The 16,937-nt window shown below is 48.8% G+C and overlaps 1 protein-coding gene across 4 annotated transcripts in view; it reads right to left on the minus strand.

Annotated features, from left to right (window-relative positions):
* The window catches only part of GTF3C1 (general transcription factor IIIC subunit 1), an 89,301-nt gene that overhangs the window by 14,085 nt on the left and 58,279 nt on the right, over positions 1-16,937 (minus strand). For 2 of the 4 annotated variants that reach the window (NM_001286242.2, NM_001520.4), the window contains exons 20-29: positions 14,905-15,046; positions 14,346-14,481; positions 13,857-13,938; positions 13,530-13,718; positions 11,300-11,457; positions 9,514-9,656; positions 8,347-8,428; positions 6,382-6,494; positions 3,772-3,834; positions 1,754-1,847 (exon numbers count right to left, since the gene is read on the minus strand). In NM_001286242.2, the coding sequence (NP_001273171.1) occupies positions 1,754-1,847; positions 3,772-3,834; positions 6,382-6,494; positions 8,347-8,428; positions 9,514-9,656; positions 11,300-11,457; positions 13,530-13,718; positions 13,857-13,938; positions 14,346-14,481; positions 14,905-15,046 (1,202 nt within the window). The remainder of the gene's footprint in view (positions 1-1,753; positions 1,848-3,771; positions 3,835-6,381; positions 6,495-8,346; positions 8,429-9,513; positions 9,657-11,299; positions 11,458-13,529; positions 13,719-13,856; positions 13,939-14,345; positions 14,482-14,904; positions 15,047-16,937) is intronic. The other 2 variants (XM_047434036.1, XM_017023188.3) reach the window with 1 other exon arrangement.

Raw genomic sequence — 16,937 nt, forward strand, 5'->3', positions numbered from 1 at the left:
CTCAGACAGGGCTTTGCTTTCATCTACAAAATGCTGGGGTGGCAGAGGGCGCACGGCACAGATACTAGCCTTCCACTCCAAATGTGTACACTTGACCGTATGTGTAAAACAGGCAGGAGGAAATAAAACACAGGGTTCAAGGGATGCACAGCAAGTGTATGAGGACATTTCTCGGGCCTCCCTGATTGATGGTCCCATGTGTCCCTGCAGGAGGCACAGAGAACCTCCAGGTGGTGATTAAAACAGGAGAAATCAAATGCACACTCTGTCTTGGGTGTGCTGAGGTCTGGCCATGGCCGTTAAAGACTAGGGCCAGGGTGCTGCTCTGAAGCAGGGCATTCAAGCCCAGCGTGGCATTTTCCTGAACCAGTTCCATTTCCCCCAGTCCTCCCTGCCCCGCTGTGGCCAAAGTAACAAGCACGTGCAGCGCCCCGCCAGGGTCAACACTGCTGTTTCTGCAAGGGTGGCCCATGGGCCCCTTCGGGATTGGGGAGGGGTGGCACACTCTTATCAGGGCCCCACTCCACTGCTCTTGACTGGAGTCTCTGAGAATAGGGCTTGGGCTTAACATGCTATAAGATCTCTCTGTGGACTGTGAGGCGCCCTAATGATCGGGTCCTCACCCATCTGAATTCATCGGCGGGATTAGGAAAGTCCCTTTGTTTTCTTATTCTTTTTTCCCCTCGTATTCCAAATCAGGTGACTTGTTAATGTAAGCCAGGAGCAGATTTTTAGGGTTAGTGATTAAATACAAAATGAACGGGTCCTCCTTAGAATTCACTTTTGATGACTTGGGGGAGAACGAGGCCCTGGGCAGCACTGGCAGGGGACCCTCAGCACCTCTCTGTTGGGGTCTTGGGTGATGACTGAGATATGTGGTCTTGGGTGTGTGATTTAACTTCTCTGAACCTCAAGTGCCCACATTTGTATAAGAGTAGTAAGACCACTGACTTCCCAGGCTCCACCGGGGGTTCGATGTGATTTCCCTTCCTCACTCTCATGTTCTTTCAGCCGCAGTAGAGCGGCCGCGTGGACCTGTGTCCTCGGGAGACAGATGACTCACTGCCCACGGAAAGGCAGCTTTCCCATCCAGTGACCTCCCACAACCAGAATATCTTGGCATTCCAAAGTGATGATTTGAAAAGCTATGCCGTATAGCTCAATTACTTTCTCAGGTCCTTTGCCATGCCTCATTTCCTCTCCTGCTTCATTTTCTGTCTTAAACATTAGACTTAAAAACCTCAGCTCTGGGAGGGATTGTGGAGGTCACTAGATCCCATCCCCATGCTTTAAAGACTAAAGAGAGAGATGAGGAAAGCTGGCCAAGGGGTGCAAAGCTTCAGTTCTATGAGATGCTAAGCCCTGGAGGCTCACAGCTTGGTAATGACAGGTGACAATCTGGTGCTGTACACTTGAAATGCACCAGGAGGAGAGATCGCCAAGTGTGCTCACCATAATGAGAAAAGGTACTATGTGGGGTGATGGATGTGCTAATTGGCTTGACTGTGACGATTATTCTGCAATGTATACGTACATCAAATCCTCCAGTTGTATAACATAAACATACACAATAAACACAAAGAAATAAAAATAAAACAACGATAAAAAAATAAAGTTGAAAGACATGTGGGCTGGCATTTTGGGGGAATCAGCCCAAGAGCCCACAGCGGAGAAGGGCAGGGGCCAGCACCTCACGAGCCTGGCCTCGGAAGGGCCCACATCCCCGCTGTGCTGCCGGGCAGCCGACACCCACCTGGAATGACTGGTAGGACTTCATCTGACTGTCTGAGAGGGCCAGCGTGCTCTGGATCAGGTTCTGAAGCACCAGAAAGTGGATGTCATCCACGCTGAAAGAGAGGGGGCAGCAGGGCACCATGAGACCACAGGCACTGCTCAGCTCAGGCAGATGCAATTCTTAGGGAAAAAAACTTGAATCTCACAAAAGGGACACAAATGCCAAAACTATTCACAAAAGAAAACACAATATATGATGGTTTCTAGGCTTTACTAACAGGTCCATTTCTGCAGGAGAAAAGTTTCTTTTAGTAGATAGGGGGTGACCTACCTGGAACGGGTTTACATGACCACTAATAAATGTAGTTAGTACTTCTCGTTTCTTTCCCTCTAATTCTAAACGAGTTTTTCTCCGAAGAAAAAAGGTTTCTCACTGAAATACAGAGCTAAAATCAAAGTGACTATTGATTATCCAAGATGGAAAAACAAAACCTGGGCTTTTGGAACTGAGTTTTGCTTGGAAAGCTCATGGGTTCAGAGTTTAAATCCTTTCCTCAACCTACCTTAAGGCTTGGCCAGTGATATTCAAGGCTAGGGGGTCAGGAACTTTTCCTCTAAAGGGCCAGTTAATACATGCTTTAGCCTTGGTGGGCTCTATGGAATCTGTTCCAACTATAGCTGACCCTTCTGCAATGCGGTCTGAACTGTGCAGATCCACTTATACATAGATTTTCTTTCACCTCTGCCACCCTAGAAACAGCAAGACCAACCCCTCCTCTTCCTCTGTCCCTTCAGACTACTCAAAATGAAGACAACAAGGATGAAGACCTTTAAGATGATCTACTTCCACTTAGTGAATAGTAAATAGATTTTCTCTTCCTTTTTTTTTTTTGAGACAGAGTTTTGCTCATGTCGCCCAGGCTTGAGTGCAATGGTGTGATCTCAGCTCACTGCAACCTCCGTTTCCCAGGATCAAGCGATTCTCCTGCCTCAGCCTCCCCAGCAGCTGGGATTACAGGCACCTGCCACGCCCAGCTAATTTTTGTATTTTTAAGTAGAGACGGGGTTTCACCATGTTGGCCAGGCTGGCCTTGAACTCTTGACCTCAGGTGATCCGCCGGCAGCGCCCTCCCAAAGTGCTGGGATTACAGGCGTGAGGCACTGTGCCTGGCCCCTTATTTTTGTTAACAGTTTCTTTTCTCTACCTTATTTTATTGTAAGAGCACAGTATATAACATATGTAAGATACAAAATATAAATTAATCAACTCTTTGTTATTGATAAGGTTTCTGGTCAACAGTAGGCTATCAGTGGTTAGGTTTTGAGGAGTCAAAAGTTACATGTGGGGCCAGGCATAGTGGCTTACACCTGTATATTAATCAACTGTTATTGATAAGGTTTCTGATCAACAGTAGGCTATCAGTGGTTAGGTTTAGGGAGTCAAAAGTTATACTTGGGTCAGGAGTGGTGGCTTACGCCTGTAATCCCAGCACTTTGAGAGACCAAGGTGGGCAGATCACTTGAGGCCAGGAGTTCCAGACCAGCCTGGCCAACACGGCAAAACCCCGTCTCTACTAAAAAATACAAAAATTAGCTGGGTGTGGTGGCAGGTGCCTGTAATCTCAGCTATTCGGGAGGCTGAAGAATGAGAATCACCTGAACCAAGGAGGCAGAGGCTGCAGTGAGCTGAGATCAATCCACTGCACTTCAGCCTGGGCGAAAGAGCAAGACTCCATCTCAAAAGAAAAAAAAAAGGAAAGAAAAAAAAAAGTTCTATGTGGATTTTTGACTGTGCAGGGGGTCGGCGTCCCCTTACCCACAAATTGTTCAAAGGTCAACTGTACTTACCTCTGAGGTTCTTGCACAAAAGCAGCATAGACAACATACAGAATGGGCATGGCTGTATGCCAGTAAAATTTTGTTCACACAAACAGGTAGTGGGCTGGATTTGGCCCTAGATTACCCCAGTGCAATAGGTTGTCAGCCATCAAGTTATTAAGCAGCTGAGGAAAAGCTACTCTATATATCAGTACTTACCTGTTAAGTTCATCCTCTTTCCTGGTTTGATCTTTTTCATCCCCAATTGCCAAAACTCGGTACCTGCAAAAGAAACATAACAGCATGTCAGTGAAACAAAACAGCTCCTCACTAAGCAAGCGGATGCTGGCTCAAGATGGCCATTTATTGGCTAAAGTGTTGGGAGTGGGAGAAATGTTAAACTCACCAAATGTCGAGTGCTGTGCATGTAAATTAAAATGAGAATATACCCTGTCCTGCCTGTTATAAAAAGGAGGGCTGAGAAAATGTGCAATGTTCACTCACCGACAATTATGTGGCAACACGGAAAAATGTGAACTGGCAAAGATCCACTGTTAATTGTAAGAGGAACAGCACCTAAAACTGTGGGTGTGTTACAATCCAAAAAAAAAAAAAAAGCACAAGAAGAAAATGTCCCACCCAGAAGTAATCTAAAAAAATTATTCTCATAGAAGAAGGAAAAAGGTGGTTCCCAGAGGCTGGGAAGTGGAAGGGAAGGAATGAAGAAAGGAAAGATGTTGAGCAAAGGGTATAAAGTTACAGTTAGACCAGAGGAAAAAGTTTTCATGATTTAAAACTGCATGGTGACCACAGTTAATAACACATTACATATTTTGAAATTACTAAAATAATAGATTTTTAAGGTTTGTATTGCCAACAAAAGAAGTTGGTGAGGCGACAGATATGTTGGTTAACTTGACTTCATCCTTCCTCAATGAACACATATATTAAAACATCACACTGTACCCCATAAATATATAAAATTATTATTCATCAATTAAAACAAAGAAATATGAAAATCCCCAAAGAGTAGCCATATTAGGTGTTGGAATTACAAACCATTTCCCCATTTTTTTTTTGAGTTTCATGTAATATTATTTTACTGTATGTATACCAAGCAAGTAAATTTAAGAATAAGTCATAGAACTGCCTTTTTATAAAATATGACAAATTGGCCATTTGTAGGACATTTCTTCGGTTTCTAACAAACTAACAGAAAAATTAATCTTGACTGCAATAGTAAATTCCTCTTATAATTTAGTGCCAAGAAAAAGAAACTTTTCAGAAAACGTGAAAACCACCTCTGCTTCCTGGGTTCAAGTGATTCTCCTGCTTCAGCCTCCCAAGTAGCTGGGATTACAGGCACGTGCCACCACGCCCAGCTAATTTTTGTATTTTTAGAAGAGACAGGGTTTCACCATGTTGGCCAGGCTGGTCTCGAATTGCTGACCTCAGGTGATCCACCCGCCTCGGCCTCCCAAACTGCTGGGATGATGGGTGTTAAGCCCCCACACCTGGCTTGGAACCATTTTCTATTCTGCCTTGCCTGCCAGAATGCTCAGGATCACAATCAGTATTAAACTGTTACACTTGCAACTTTTTCTTCTCTCTAAATGGTTCATGGGCTCTCCTTTAAAAATCTCTGTCTTCTTTTATGATTAAAAATTGTGGCCGGGTGCGGTGGCTCATGCCTGTAATCCCAGCACTTTGGGAGGCTGAGACGGGCAGATCACGAGGTCAGGAGATCCAGACCATCCTGGCTAACACGGTGAAACCCCGTCTCTACTAAAAATACAAAAAAATTAGCCAGGCCTGGTGGCGGGCGCCTGTAGTCCCAGCTACTGGGCAGGCTGAGGCAGGAGAATGACGTGAACCTGGGAAGCGGAGCTTGCAGTGAGCCGAGAGTGTGCCACTGCACTCCAGCCCGGGGGGCCGGGGTGAGACTCCATCTCAAAAAAAAAAAAAAAAAAAAAAAGTTGCCCCATAACTTTACTGAGAATATGTGGAGATATAAATTACAAATCAGTAAACAGGCCATTGGATTGACTTGAAACCATGCCATTTTGGAATTCTGGGGAACAGTCTACTGCAAACCAGAAACAAAACCCAGAATGTGGGCAAAGGATATCAACTCTGAAAACGAGTACAAACTGCTCTTTAGGCATGGCAATACAGTGGGTGAGACATACATTATCTGTTGAGTGAATGAAGGAATGAGGTCTTCAACTGAAATGTTGAGAGCAAGGGTGCTGTACAGTTCACAGGCAGAACTGATGGATGCCATCATTTTACAGGGAGAAATTCAGAAAAACAGTGGCTCGAGGGACTTTTTGGGTGAGGATGGTGGAGAAAAGGGATCTACATTTGGAGGATGCTGAGGTAACAGGCCTAGTTCACAGAACTTAAGATTTAAAAATTGTACAGGGTTCTGTGCTCATACCCAAGATTCTTCTTCCAAATGCCGAGTGGTTACAGACCCTCCTATGTTCAAATCCTGGCCCTGGTACTTACAAGCACTGTGACCTTGGGCACGTTACTTACATAGGAATTTCCTCAAAGGTAAAGTAAGCAAACCTAGCAAAAAGTACACCAACCAAACAAGGAAGCCTGAAGGACCAATGGGAGAATGAACATAAATGCCCGGCAGGGTGCTAGGTCCCATTCTGTGTTCAAGTCACCCATGAGAGGAGAGACAGGAGGGCCACTGCAAGGCCAAATGCAGCCAGGCAGGTGCTGTGCGCTTCCCGGACCTGCTGATAAGGGAGACAGGGCTGGCCTTTTCTTCTTGCCCTGCGAGGGCCACATGGAACCATCCCAGAAACGGCTTACCTGGCGAACAGCTCCTGGAGTGTGTCTGGGATTTCAAGGTTAGAATTCCTTAGGGCTGAACTGAACTTTTCTTTAAGCTTCTCCACAAATTCTTTAAACTCGTTGGCACAAACCTTTCAACATGAGAGCATGAGAGGTTAAGCCCTTACTCTTCCTAAAGGGAGGTTTTGCTAAGATGCACCAAGGAATATCTTGTAACAAACTCCTGCACCAGCTAAGTCCGAGAACCACTGACCAGGTGCCTCCCCTGGTCACCTGTCATCTGTCACCTGTCATCTGAGAAGCTCGGTCTGTAGAGGAGGCAAAAGACCCTCACCACTACGCTCAGGAAACTGGGGTACCTGGTGCCAACTAACCCACCGACAGCCTCACCCTGCATCGCTGGCACTCTCCCAAGCCCCAGGTGAGATGACTCAAACGTGCCCCACACAGTGCTCCCTCACAGCCTCCCTCCTCCCAGGCCTGGTGTTCCCTGGTTCACCCATGTAGTCAGCCTCCTTCCTCTGCCCCAGCCTCACACTCCACGGGTGGCCCCCAAATCAATTTCCTCCTCTATATGCGCACTGCATCATCTCAGTCCAGACCCAGATCTGAGGAGCAAGCTGGTTGCGTCACCCAGTGTGCAATGCGACATGGTATGCTCCCGCTCCTCCCTGGCCTGGTGGCTATGTAGGACGCAGCCCCTGCTGCATCTGGCTGCTGTGCCTGCCAGCCCCACGGCTCCCTCTCCCCTCACTGTTGCTGCCCCAGCTGCCGTGGTTTCCAGTCTCGCCCAGTGCTGACACCTTTACTAAGCCCACTGGCAGACACTGTGGGTGTCTGTGGGTCACCTATTCCATTTTTCCCCACACTTTCTGATTAGCCAGTCTCAATTTGCTGTGGGGAGGGAGGATGCCCAGTCTCCTAGGATACACCAGGACAGTTTAAGCCACTCATGGCAGCCTGAGTCCCCTGTGCTATGTCCCACTGTTTCCCAGCCACGTGGCCCAGGTCTGCCAGGGGCTCCTGGGAAAGGCTGTCCCCTGATACAAGGGCCATGTGGGTCTATTGCAGCCCCTCTCCCCACTGCTTCCTGCTCTGGAATTCTGTTGTGAGGACTTGAGCTCTCATTGTCAACATTTGCAACCAGGGGGTGACTGGCATAGGATGGAAAGCTGACCACTGCTCCTGGAGGGGAGTGTGGCGGCAGGAACCTGGGAGCCTGATGACATCTCTGCTCCCCTGCACCAGACCAGGACTGCCTACCCTCAACTGCTTGGCATTTGGGAAAAAGGAAGCTGTATACTCTCATTAGGTTAGGTTTTTCTGTCACTTCCATCCAAAAGCATTGCTGAGCCTCCTCCCTGACCTCTGTGGGCCTGTGCCTTCCTCTTCCGGGAGCTGACTACACTGTCCTGCAATGGCCATGTACTTCTCTGTCTGTCCCACTCGCCTGTGGCCTCCTTGGCGGAAAAGGTAGCCTCTCCTTGTCCACTGGCCTCACTTGGCACAAGTCCTGCCACACACACTGTAGTGTCCAGGGTTAGCACAGAAATGAAAGATGAGCAGCCTCTGAGGCGAAGGGCAGGAGTCTGGGTCAGCAGACAGCTTCCCTCCTTGTCAGCCACCGCCTTGGCCCCTCTGGACAGAAAACTCGGAAAGAAAACCCACACCCAGTCTGCGAGCTTTCTAGGAAGCCTGTAATTTCTGAAGAAATGTTCTATTTTCTTAACAAAACAGGCCCAAGGCACAGCAGCCCTTCAAAGTGGCCTGTCAGATTCTAATCATCTTTAAAAACAGGTGTTTGAAGCCAGATCAAGTGAAGGCCAACACCAGAGAGCTGACTCGGTGATTTCTCAAGTGAGCAGGAAACAAAGTCCACGTTCCTAAGGCTGGCAGGGGCACTGTGGGATGAGAGGAGCTGACTGAAGTCTAGCTGCCCCAATCTCCCAAGCATACCAAGCCCTACACTCACACAGGACCTACCTTTGGGTCATCATAGTCACCTCTTCGATTCATGAAATCTCCAACAAGTGCTTTATCCTGGTACACCTCGGCCAGGCACACTCTGCAGGAAGAGGAGACAAAGCTGAAGTCTGGGAATTGCAATGATGCCCATGTTCAGAACCTTCAGAGAGCTCCATTCTCATGTTTCTGGCCTTGGCCGACCTTGAAGCATGAGTTACTTATATGCCTGTTGCACAACTGCAGCTTTTACGAATGAAGGATTTGGGGTCAGCCAAGCCTGACCTCAGTCAGGTCTGTTCACACTTTACACCTTGGCTTCTCTGAACTTCCGTCCTTCATAGGTAACCGAGAACACTGAGTCCCAAACTGTCTCTCACAGGGGTTTGTCCAGGACCATATGGGCTGACCTATGTGAAAGTGCATCACACATTTAAAAACATCAAACAGGCTTTGGGGTTTATTATTCTTAAGCTCTCTAATCTACTGCAAAGCAGGTGTGTCCACTCCACTAACCTTCACATCTCCATGATATAAGGAGAGCCTGACTTGCCCAAAAGAAAATGAAGGGGAAGGCGACCAGCATTTGCTGGGCTCCCGTCCACCAGGCACTGCTGCCTTCATAAAGAGCTTGCCAGGTACAGACTCATTCCGCTTTACAGCCTGGTAAGGCAAGGGGACTCCCTGAGGTCACACACACAAGGGCAGGGCAGGAAGACAGTTCTCAGCTCTGCTAAGAACATGGCAGAGGGCATCCTGTCCAATGATCCCAGGTCCTGCCTAGCTTGCTGCTGGAGGGAGCCACCAATCAGAGCTCTCAGGAACTGCTCTGAGGGCCAAAAACAGCAGGAAAAGCCAGCCTCTGCCTCTGCCTCCACCACCAGCTAGGCACGTGGTACTTAGCGAGTCAGCCTATCTAGTCTCCGCTTCTTCATCCAAAAAAAGGATACCACCACCTACTTCTCATGGCCGCTATAAGGTCTAAGCAATACCTTGCATGGGAAAGCACCCAGAATCATGCTTGGCCCTCACCCTCAAAAAACCAAGGTCCATCTCCCCAGCAGACTCCAACACTTGGCCAGCCCATCAGACACCTCAGTGTGCTCCAGCCACACTTCCCACCAGACTCTTAAGCAAACGGGATAACGTAACCGTGTCCCGGAGTGACGGGGCTTCAATGAGGCTTACTTATAGTTGAGATAGGCCTGTGGGTTTTTGACTATGTAGCGAGCTCTTCGTCCAACGGAATGAGATGTTTTATCCAAAGACTCTTCAAACGTGGCATGCAAAATGTCCCGTACCACCTGCCAGGTGACAAATGGGCCCTTCACCTGGATCAAACACAGAGCCAAGACAAAAAGTCAGTATCCTCAGAGACGACATCATGGGGAATTACCATAAAAAAGTGGACAAAATGTGTTTTGTGCAGCCTCCTTCCTCAGAGAATCCCCACAACTGTCACCTCACAATATTTACTGGGCCCACCATGTGCCAGACACTGAGGGAGATTCTGGGCAGACAAGTATAGGACGAGGCCTCAGTGACCAGCGGGAAAGAGTGTATTTTAGCAAGCGCCATGTGTGACAAAGGTGCCCAACGGGGCGGGGGGGAACTGCCTGAAAGGGCGCTGTATTAGAGGGAATCATGGGGATGCAAAGTGTGTTTAGTTAGAGGTCTTAGTGTCCTAATTATGCATCATGTGTGCTCAGAAACGTTCTGTATGTTGTGCTTGTATGTTATGTTAGTAGAAGCAGAATGTACAAAATTAGCAGACCCAGGAGAACATCTTGGTCAATAACACAGGAAGGCAAGGCCGACATGAGAAAGCCGCTTGACGAGTTATTTTCTTACATCCCCAAGGATGAGGTGACCCAAAAAGTCTGTAAGTTCTGGTAAGCGGCGAGAGTCCATCAACACTGACCTATGCAGGACCCTCCTGCCTCCTCCAGCTGCACCAGAGCTGGAGCAGATGGAGGGACGCCCCACTTACCCATCAGCTCTGCAATGACGAAGCCATTGCAGATGCAGGGAACAGAAATTAGGGATGGCAACATGTCACCTTTCAGGTTCTTCCTTGGAAAAGAGGTTGGGATGGAATTCAGGAGAGGACTGAGGGATGAGAGAACAGGGGACAAGCGGTCAAGACAAGGGATCTAATAGTTGGCAGGCAAGGAGCATCTGGGCACAAAGCCCCAGCTGGGTTTCTCCTGCCTGGCCTGGCTGAGACCCGGAGGCACACCCGGGCTCCTCCAAAGCTGCCTTGTGGCACTACTGCCTGGAAGGGGCCCTGGACTGGACTGGCAGAGCTTTTTCCTGGAAGGCAAATAAGAGGTCTCGCTGCCTTGTGGACCAGCCACGCCGGTGAGCCAAGAGGTACCAGAGGTGACAGAAACAGCATGAGAAGTATCCGGCCAAGAACAGAGAATGAGCAGGGTAATTACGCCCAATTGGCAGATCATTCCGGACATGATGGGCAGTTACAGGAAGGTAAATTGGAGCTTTTCAGGCAATGAAGGTGGGAGGAAGGAGCAGGCCAGGGTTAGACTACTGGTGAGGAGAGAGAAAGAACAGCTCTGAACTAGTTTGCCTGCAGCTAGGCAAACATTTATATGTATGCAGCTGAAAGCTAAAAAGAAATGTAGAAAAACAGAATGGTATTAATTTGTAGGATTAGCTGGTCATGGCAGGGTGCGCCTGTAGTCCCAGGACTATGAGAGGCTGAGGTGGGATCACTTGAGGCCAGGTTGAGGATGCAGTGAGCTGTGATCGTGCCACTGCACTCCAGACTGGGTGAAAGAGCAAGGCTCCATCTTTCTAAAAAAGAAAATGTGTAGGATTCTGGGCAATGCTTTTCCCAGTGGCGAAGCAGAGCAGCTGAGAGGAGTGGTCTCTGGCTGGGAGTCCCCGGAAGGCTCAGACAGGAAGGAGCTCCGAGTGAGGGGCAGGCCCACCGCTGGGCTGGGCTGGTTGGTACCTTGGTGTTGAGGACATTGCTGGCAATGCGGCACAGCACAAGCAGCCCATCCTCCTGCATAGACCAGGTGACACGAAGCCGCGTCATCCGCTGCAGGGCACTCTGGTCGGCTTCATCATGGTAGCGCAGCCTTTTGCTTTTTTCTCCTGGGAACTCTCCTAAAAACACCAGAGGGAGAAGGCAGGAGACCTCTAACACCTGGTTTGGAGCTGTCACTCTGCAGAGGGGCAGGTTCCCTACCCAGCCAGTGAGATGTGACTAATGGTATTGGTTAGCAGATACTCATTGTATCTAAAGTCACATAAACTAACTGCAAAAGACCCAGCCCCTTCTGATAGATTTTATTTTTTTTTAAATCCCTTTCATCATTTATCTTGATCAAATTTCACAGCAACAGGTTGGAAGGCTCAATGCAGCCTCTAGTTGGTTATCTGCCAATCTCCAATCTCCCCCACTGTGACAGAGTCCTTTGAAGGCATCTTGTACAGAAGCCTACAGTGCGTGCTCGGGGCGTACCCACCGAGTGAGCAGGACCAGGGACTGTGCAGTCACCAGGCCCCCACGCTCCCTTGCTCTGTGACCACACGGGCGTTGTGTAGACTTGAGTGCATCTGGGGACAATAAGGCCTCTGCTCCAGGGCCATGGAGAGGGTGGAAGGAGACTGCATATAAAACATCCAGCACACAGTGGTGGCTACTAAATAACTAACATCAGCAGTGAGATCGGTGTAGTTAATAACTAAACAGCACCACCACCACCAAAACAGCAGTCTAGCATCAGGGAATATTCATTGTGTGCCTAGCACTGGTTTATGCTTTTTCAACATATTATCTTATAATTAGAATACTACTTTATAGCAACCTTATGAAATGGATACAATTGTTATCACTGTTTTTTGTTGAGGAACACAGAGACATACAGTGACTTGCTGAAGTCACACAGCTGAGTCAGCAACAGAGGGAGGATCTGAACCTTGAGAGCGTAGCCACAGGGCTGCCAAGGTCTCCTGCCCAGGGGAGGTACTGATAGCACCTTCACAGGACAGACACCATATGCCACTGCCAATCTCAAAAGACTGTTTAGCGAGTGTCTTCCAAATTAAGGCAGAAGAAAAGTGGGGAAAGGAAATTTGGACTCGAAGTGACACCACCACATTTTGCATTGTGATGAATTCAGGTTTTTAAGCCAAATTGGTCTTACACATATCTACGACAGGCGAAACTGAGGGGGCCATTTCAACTGATGGAATGCTATTTGTTATGAACGCCAGCCAAATAAACCACTAAAAACAGGTTCCTGTTTAAACATTCTGTCTTTAACTGAAATAGCTACCAGCCGTCAGTGGCTGCTGTTAAAACTTGTGGACCACTTAGGCAATATGAAAGTGGTCTAAAAACTAGACACTGGTCTCCTTTCCACTCCCTCTGCTATAAATACTGGCCGGATGAAGAACTCAAAATGGCAGTCTAAAAGGCACCGCACAAGGGGTGCATCAAATCAGAAGGTGCTGCAGGCTTACACGACTCCCAGCTTTCCTCTAATTTAAAAATGCAACATGGGACCAGCATGGCGGCTCACTTGAGGTCAGGAGTTCCAGACCAGCCTGGACAATATGGCAAAACCCCGTCTCTACTAAAAATATAAAATTAACCGGGTGTGGTGGCGCACGCCTGTAATCCCAGCTACTTGAGAGGCTGAGGCAGGAGAATTGCTTGAGCCCAGGAGGCGGAGGTTGCAGTCAGCCAAGATCACACCACTGCACTCCAGCCTGGGCAACAGAGTGAGACTCTGACGCAAAAAAATAAAAATTAAAAAATTAAAATGCAACATGCCTTTGAACTTTGGCCTGATTAGCATAAACACAGATATTAAAAGGTAAACTCCCCCAAAATTAGGATCTTGGCTAGTTGTGATGAGGCTGTTGCTGACATTTTTTTCAGCTGAGATGAAACTAGGCATTTGAACTGAATGAGTTCCTAAAGTCAGAAGCTCTAAAAGATACAAAGGCGGAGAAAGCAGGGGAAGCATACGGGATATTCGAGTCTCTCTCATCTGCCAAATGGATGTGGAAATAAAGCAACCATCATAGAGAGTCAGCGCCACACATCGAGGGAAGGCGGAAACCCGTGCTGAAGGGCAGAGCTCAGGCCTGGCTGGAGTGAGGCTGTCGCACATCTCCAAGCCAAAACAAAGACAAGGCCCAGTAAATGAAAATGATCACCACATAACCTTTCTTCTTTCTCTTGATCTTCTTCCCAGGGTCCTTCTTCAGCCGCTTCCGCTTCTGGCTTTTCCCACCCCTCACTCTCCGGTTTCGGTCCAGCGAGGGCTCTCGGTCCACCTCAAACTGCTCTTCCCAGCCAGCACAGAGCTCGGAGCCTACTCTTGCTTCCCCCCAAATATTCAACCTGCTGTTGCCTAGACATAATCACAGGAGACAACAGTTTCAGGACGAGTGCTGCAAAGGCCAGGAAGACCAAACCGAACATAGGGTAGTCGTTTAGGCCCTGAACTGGTACCATATTAACTTCTGGGGTGAACTCCCAGCACACGTACCTCTGGCACTGAGGGGCATTGGGCGCTTGGACAGAAATGTCTGGAGCCTCACTGTGAGTCCATTCTCTGCGGCAGTGTTCTCCTGTGAGACAAGCACAGCACTGGGATGAAGCATGAGCTTCCACAAATCCCCAGCCGCCCAGAGTAACAAATGCACCGAGGTCTCTTAGGAAGGTAAGGGCCGCTGTGCACTGACAGCCAGGGGCTGGAGTCTCCTGCCACCCGCTTTACCATTGCTCATGCACTCCCTCCTGGAGGACCTGTGTCACCCAGACCTTCTGATCCTTCTTTAAAAAGGAATACCTGTCCACGTCACAGCGTAAGTTAGCATCCACTGGGAATAAAACAGGCCAGGCACACATTTAAGGGGCCTGACGCACCTTCAATACAAACGGAAGCCAGTATTTGTGTCTCTGGTCAGGCAGGGAGGGACAGGAGGGTGAGTAGCGAGGACCCCTGAGATTGTAGTCCGGTGTGACGCACACCCACCTTTTTGGCCTGGTTGATGATGTAGCTGGTCCAGATCCAGTTGCGCTTGAGGTGTCCGTAGAAGCTGGAATCGAGCCCTGCGGCACCCAGCCCATCTCCAGGGATCAAGCCTTCATCCACCACCTCACGGCTTCCACTAAAAGACAGGAAATCAACAGAAAAGAGCCCTTCTTGGTCATCACCGAAAAAGAGAGCCCATGGCATGGGTTGAGGGACATTTATTTATAACCAACTTTCACCTTTCCAGAAAAACACCCCACAGGTAGCAATGAAGAACTTGGGGGCCCTAAGTGTTGACTGGTTTTCACTTTTGCAAGATAAGTCAAAAATCCAGATTTTTATATAAAATTCCCAAAATAAATTTTGACAACCGATTACATTTTTAAAAACAAGATGTGGGCTAAATAAAGTATGTCTGGAGCCAGCCATCTGCAGCCTCTGCACCGGAGACACAGGCCGTCTGGCCTGACATCCTAAGCCAGACAAGGGCGGGCAGGCATCTGAAATGAGCACCACCGCAGCCCAGTCCTGGCCGGCCGCGCTTGGGACGGACACGCACGTGGTGTACTCCAGCATGGCGCACTTGCGCTCCAGGTTGTGCTTGTCCATGGCGCTCTCCTGCTCCTTCTGCAGGCTGCCCTCCTCGTCGCTGCCCTGGTCTGTGCTGCTGTTCTTCCTGACGCGCGGGCAGCGCACCACGCCTGGAAAACCAAACATCAGGGTGACCAATCACGCCTTCCTGCTGCAGCTCTGGTGGCTACTACCTCTGGCTGGGTGGGGAAGAAGAGTGGATTCCCTGCCTGTGAAAAGGCTCCCCGGCCACTGCGGGGGTCTGAGATTGGTAAGACCTCTTCGTACAAAATATCCATACAAGAAAGTCAGAGGGAACAGAGGAAGAGAGTTGGAGTGCTGGTGGGTGACCTAAGGAAAGGGTCTATGCCAGGCTGAATTCACTGAAGACAGAAGGCAGGCAAGGCAGTCGAGAGAGCCCGGCAGGCTCAGGGAGTCCAGCGCAGGGGAAACCCAGGCCTTCCTGCCTCCTGGAAAGCCCCGGGAGATGCTGGGGCCAAGGTGGCAGAAACGACTGCCCTTGCTGGTGGTGGCAGGGATACGGAGGGGCCTGTACAGACAGATTGCTGAGATGCACTGCACGCAGCAGGCCTGGGCCCCACCTGGCTCCAGGAGCAGCCAGATGTCTCCTAAGTGCTCAAGAGGTTTGCTAATGGAGTTGAGAAATGATATCCAGTTATTCTGTAATACAGAAAATTGCATTTCTTGCAAAGAAATATAAAATACCACTAAAAGCACTGCTTGATAGGTGAGGGAAGGTTTGCAGACTCTCAAAGACTCTCTCCTAGCATGCTTGGAGACCTCGGCTTGATGGCATGGCCGGTGGGGCCCGGGGCAGTGGGAGCTCAGGGCCTCACCCACAGCAGCTGGAACTTTACTTGAGACGCCTTGCCCAACTTCACCTTGGCCCATATGGTGGTGGCAGTGGAGTTCTCAGCTTAGAAATAAACTGAGATTCAGGGAGGTTACAAGTAGCTTGCCCAAGGTCACCCGTTTGAATGGACCCTTGAAACTAACAATATTTAAGGCAAAGCTTCTCTCATATAAATAACAGCAGCACCACAAGTCTGCTTGTGAAAAATGCAGACTCTCCAGGTAGGGCCCAGTAATCAGCATTTAATATGCTGCTCAGGTGATTCTTACGCAGGCTAATGTTCATGCAGCACCTGCTCTAAAAGATGATTGCATCTCATTATATGACGCTTTTCCCCTCATCCTGGGGGTAGAACCTCTTCAAATGTTTATTGAATGAAGGGACAATCAATGCCTGATTACTGGGGCTCAATAAGCCTTTGCCATTTCTGCTCATGAACACCTAAAGGGATGGAAATTCACCAATTGTCAGGCCTGAAAAACTCTGGTGCAAATTCATGCTGGTTCACAAATTTTTATCTAGATATAAAATGCAGGGGAATTAGGGCATTATTAAAATCTAAATTGGCAAAAGCCTAGCTCACTGCTGAATGCCAGAGGATTCTATGAAACACACTGTTCTAAAATACGTCTGGACCCATGAAAGTTTCTAAATACAAGTGCTATTACTCTTGGCATTAAATAATTCTGCCAAGCAAAATGTGTGACTCCCACTTTGCAAAAATCAAAGTGTGATACTGGATCTTTCAGCTTCAAGAAGGGAGGAGCGGAATGGAACTCCTCTTGGAGGTGCAAGCTGAACGTGGCTTCCTTTCTCTCCTGGTAGAGGTGGCAGGAAAAGGCCAGGTGGAGAAAGGCCTGGAGGAAAAGCACTGCAGGGGAGGCTCTCTTGCCTTCCGTAGACCCTCCATGCATTTGATCCACATTTACAGGATGCCGACTGTGCACCCGACACTTTGCGACACATCATGGGGATGGAAGCCAACTATTCTAGGCACAAGGAACTCCCAAGATGAAATGGAATGATGCTAATAAAGGTGTGGACACGCTTTCTCTGAGAGGTGACACCTGAAGTAGGAGTGGGCATCTGAGAAGCCAGTGTGGGAGGGAGGGTCCTTCTAGGGAGAGAGAGGGGTGTGGGCAGAGGCT

This window comes from Homo sapiens, chromosome 16 (assembly GCF_000001405.40).
Source record: "Homo sapiens chromosome 16, GRCh38.p14 Primary Assembly".
NCBI lineage: Eukaryota > Metazoa > Chordata > Mammalia > Primates > Hominidae > Homo > Homo sapiens.